Source organism: Homo sapiens, chromosome 14 (genome assembly GCF_000001405.40).
Source record: "Homo sapiens chromosome 14, GRCh38.p14 Primary Assembly".
NCBI lineage: Eukaryota > Metazoa > Chordata > Mammalia > Primates > Hominidae > Homo > Homo sapiens.
The window spans coordinates 66430839-66434756 of NC_000014.9; the positions used below are offsets into that span (position 1 = coordinate 66430839).

The window sequence follows — 3918 nt, forward strand, 5'->3', positions numbered from 1 at the left end:
CATACAGAGCACTTGGCAAACCCTCTAGGAAAAATGAAACACACAAATGGCAGATACTATTGTTATTGTTACTGCTGTTATTATGAAAGAAAATCGCTCAAGTATGTTATAGGGGTAGAGCAATAAAAATGTGAAGTCTGTAAAAAAGGAAAAAGGTGTGCTTCAGATAAATATAATGATAAAAACCATATGCTTAGATTTGAAAAGCAATGACACAATACAAAATAAGAGACTGATGAAGCTGAAAAAGTGAAGCTGAAAATTACTTTAAAAGGAGTATTTAGTAAGAACTGCCATCCTGAATCAATTTAATGTCTTAATGGTTGGGTCCTGTGTAATCACATAAATATCTTGTTATCTAATCATAAGAGGCTTATTAAAGCAGAAGTTTATTTTTCCATTTCTCTTCACATCATTTTTATCTTTCATGTTACTTTCTCATTCTGTGGAATCCTCTTCAAGAAAGCTAATTTTTGTTTATGCAAAATATGCTTGTTATGGACTCTATCACATCTTTACTAATCCCTTACTATTGTTCTGTGATGCTAAATCCTTCTATGATTCTAATTAGTGTGCCCCTTCAGTAGTACTTGGGTATTCTATGTATGATATCTGAAATAGAAGTAATTAAAGGAGATAGGGTACAAGAAATCTTCAAGTGTGACGATCCTGATAGAATAAAAATAACTGTTACAACATTTTGAGTGGGGTTTCAGCAGCATCTCTTATCCATGGAATTTACCATAACCTATTTACCTGGTCTCCCCATTTCAAAAATAACGATCTTGTCTCCAGTTTTCAGTTCAGTTCAGTGATTCTTTTAATGACATTTGACAAGGTTCTTTCTAATGCAGAACTTCTAAAATACATCTCCTAACTACCAAGGAAGAATATCTTTCCAGCCCAAATCAATCCAGTTGTAGGATACATGTATTTATGGAAAATGAAATATATTTAGTTGCACTTTCCAAGTGATTTATTATTTGATAATTTTTTAATCCTCATTTCTGATTGATTGGCATTTGGCAGTTATTCCCCAGACTCTCCATTGAGTGACTAATGACCAATAAACAAAATGTGCCAAGGAAATTGTAATTTAAAGAAATGCTGCCAGTTAAGAAAACTTGTTTGTAAAGTAAGTATGATTTTATAATGTGAATAACAAGTTCCTAACTTATCTGGGTTTATATTTAGATTTCTGCAGAACACTTTTCTTAAAGCATAACCTTAAGGCTGTACCATAAATGAAAAGCAAGTCCATATTAAAGCCCTACTTTAACTACTTAACGTTATTGCACTTTATTTGTGCTTCACAGATACAGTATTTTTCACAAATTGAAGGTCTGTGGCAACCTTGTGTCAAGTAAGTTCCTATTTCCAATAACACATGCTCATTTTGTGTCTCTATGTACATATTGGTAATTCTTGCAATACTTCAAATTTTTTCATTATTATTATATCTGTTATGGTGATCTGTGATCACTGATCTTTGATATTACTATTATAACTGTTTTGAGGCACCACAAGTTGTGCCAAAATAAGATAGAAAACTTAATCAGTAAATGTTCTGTGTGTTCTGACTGCTCCACTGACTGGTCATTCCCTTGTCTCTGTCCCTCTCCTTGGGCCTCCCTATTCCCTGAGACACAACAATATCGAAATCAGGTTAATTAATAACCCTAGAGAAAAGAAGAGTCACACAACTCTCACATGAAATCAAAAGCTAGAAATAATTAAGCTTAGTGAGGAAGGCATGTCAAAAGCTGACCTAAGCCAAAAGCTAACCCTCCTGTGTCAAAGTTAGCCAACTTGTAAATGCAGAGGAAAAGTTACTGAATAAAATTAAAAGTGCTACTCCAGTGAACACAAGAATAATATGAAAGTCAAACAAGCTTATTGCTGATATGGAAAGAGAAAGTTTTAGTGGTTTGAGTAGATCAAACCAGCTACAACATTCCCTTAACCCAAAGCCTAATCCAAAGAAAGGCCCTAACTCTCTTCAATACTATGAAGGGTGAGTGAGATGAGGAAGCTGCAGAAGAAAAGTTGGAAGCTAGCAGAGGTTGCTTCATGAGGTTTAATAAAAGGAAGCTATCTTCATAACATAAAAGTTCAAGGTAAAGGAGCAAGCCCTGATGTAGAAGCTGCTGTAAGTTATCCAGAAGATATAGCTAAGATCATTGATGCCATCTAGGACTTTTGGAGTAGGAGAGAAGTCAATGCTTTGCTCCAAGGCTTCAAAGAGCAAGCTGCAACTTGGATGGAGCTGGAGGCCATTACTCTAAGTGAAGTAACTCAGGAATGGAAAGCCAAATACCATATGTTCTCAGTTATAAGTGGGAGTTAAGCTATGAGGAAGCAAAGGCATGAGAATGATATAATAGACTTTGCGGGCTTGGCAGGGAAGGTTTGGAGAGGTGAGGGACAAAAGACTACATATTGGGTACAGTGTACACTGGTTAGGTGATGGGTGCACTAAAATCTCAGAAATCACCACTAAAGCACTAATCTATGTAATCAAAAAACACCTGTACCTCAGAAACTATTGAAATAAAAAAATGTTTAAAAAAAGCAATCTGACTCAAGAGTTAGGGGCTAATGCAGCTGGTGACTTTAAGTTGAAGCCAATGCTTATTTCCCATTCCAAAAATATTAGGATCCTAAGGAATCATGGTAAATCTACTCTGCCTGTGCTCTATAAATTGAATAACAAAGCCTGAATGACAGCAAATCTGTTTACAGCATGATATACTACATATTTTAAGCCCACTGTTGAGACCTACTGCTCAGAAAAAAAAAAGCCTCCTTTCCTAATGCAACTGCTCATTGACAACACACTTGGTCATCTAAGAGTTCTGATGGAGATGTATAAGTAGATTAATAACGTTTTCATGCCTGTTAACACAACAGCCGTTCTGCAGACTATGGATCAATAAGTAATTTTGACTTTCCATTCTTATTATTTAAGAAATACACTTTGTAAGGCTATAGCTGCCATAGATAGTGATTCCTCTGACGGATCTGGGCAAAGTAAATTGAAAACCTTCTGGAAAGAATTCACTATTCTTGATGCTGTTCATAACATTCGTGATTCAAGGGAGGACGTCAAAATGTCATCATTAACAGTATTTTGAAAGAAGTTGACTCCACCCCTCATGGTTGACTTTGAGGGGTTCAAGACTTCAGTGAAGGATGTATCTGCACAGCAAAGAAAGCAGAATAAGAAGTGGAGCCTGAAGACATGACTGAATTGCTGCAATCTCTTTATAAAACTTTCACAAGTTAGGAGTTGCTTCTTAGGGATTAGCAAAGAAAGTAGTTTCTTGAGGTGGAATCTACTCTTGGTGAAGATGCTATGAATATTGTTGATATGACAAGAAAGGATTTAGAATGTTACATAAACTTAGTTGATAAAGCTGTAGCAGGGTTAGAGAAGATTAACTACAATTTTGAAAGTTCTACTGTGGGTAAAATGCTATCAAACACCATCAAATGCTATGGAGAACTCTTTTGTGAAAGGAAGAGTCAATCAGTATGTCAAACTTCATTTCTGTCTTTCTTTGTTCAATTGCCACAGTCACCACCACCTTGATCAATCAGCAGCCATCAAATTCTGAGGCAAGACACTCCACCAACAAAAAGATAATGACTCGCTGAAAGCTCAGATGCTCATTAGCATTTTTTAACAATAAAGTATTTTTAATTAAGATATGTACATTATTTTTAGACAATGCTATTGCACATTTAACAGACTATAGTATAGTATGAACATAACTTTTATATGCACCAGAAAGCCAACAAATTTGTATGAGTCACTTTATTGTGATAGTCCTTTTAATGTGGTGGTCAAAACCATGCCTGCAATATATCTGAGGTATTCCTGTATATGTTATTGGCAGACTCTGCAATATAGTCACT

General features: G+C 35.4%; 1 annotated feature.

The window, feature by feature from the left end:
- Positions 3432–3601: an enhancer, noted in NCBI's record as "experimental_35524 CRE fragment used in MPRA reporter constructs". NCBI's record gives its function as "activates a minimal promoter by MPRAs in K562 erythroleukemia cells, with activity observed for both the introgressed and non-introgressed 14:66901073 variant alleles {active_cell/tissue: K562}" and the evidence as "EXISTENCE:reporter gene assay evidence [ECO:0000049][PMID:34662402]".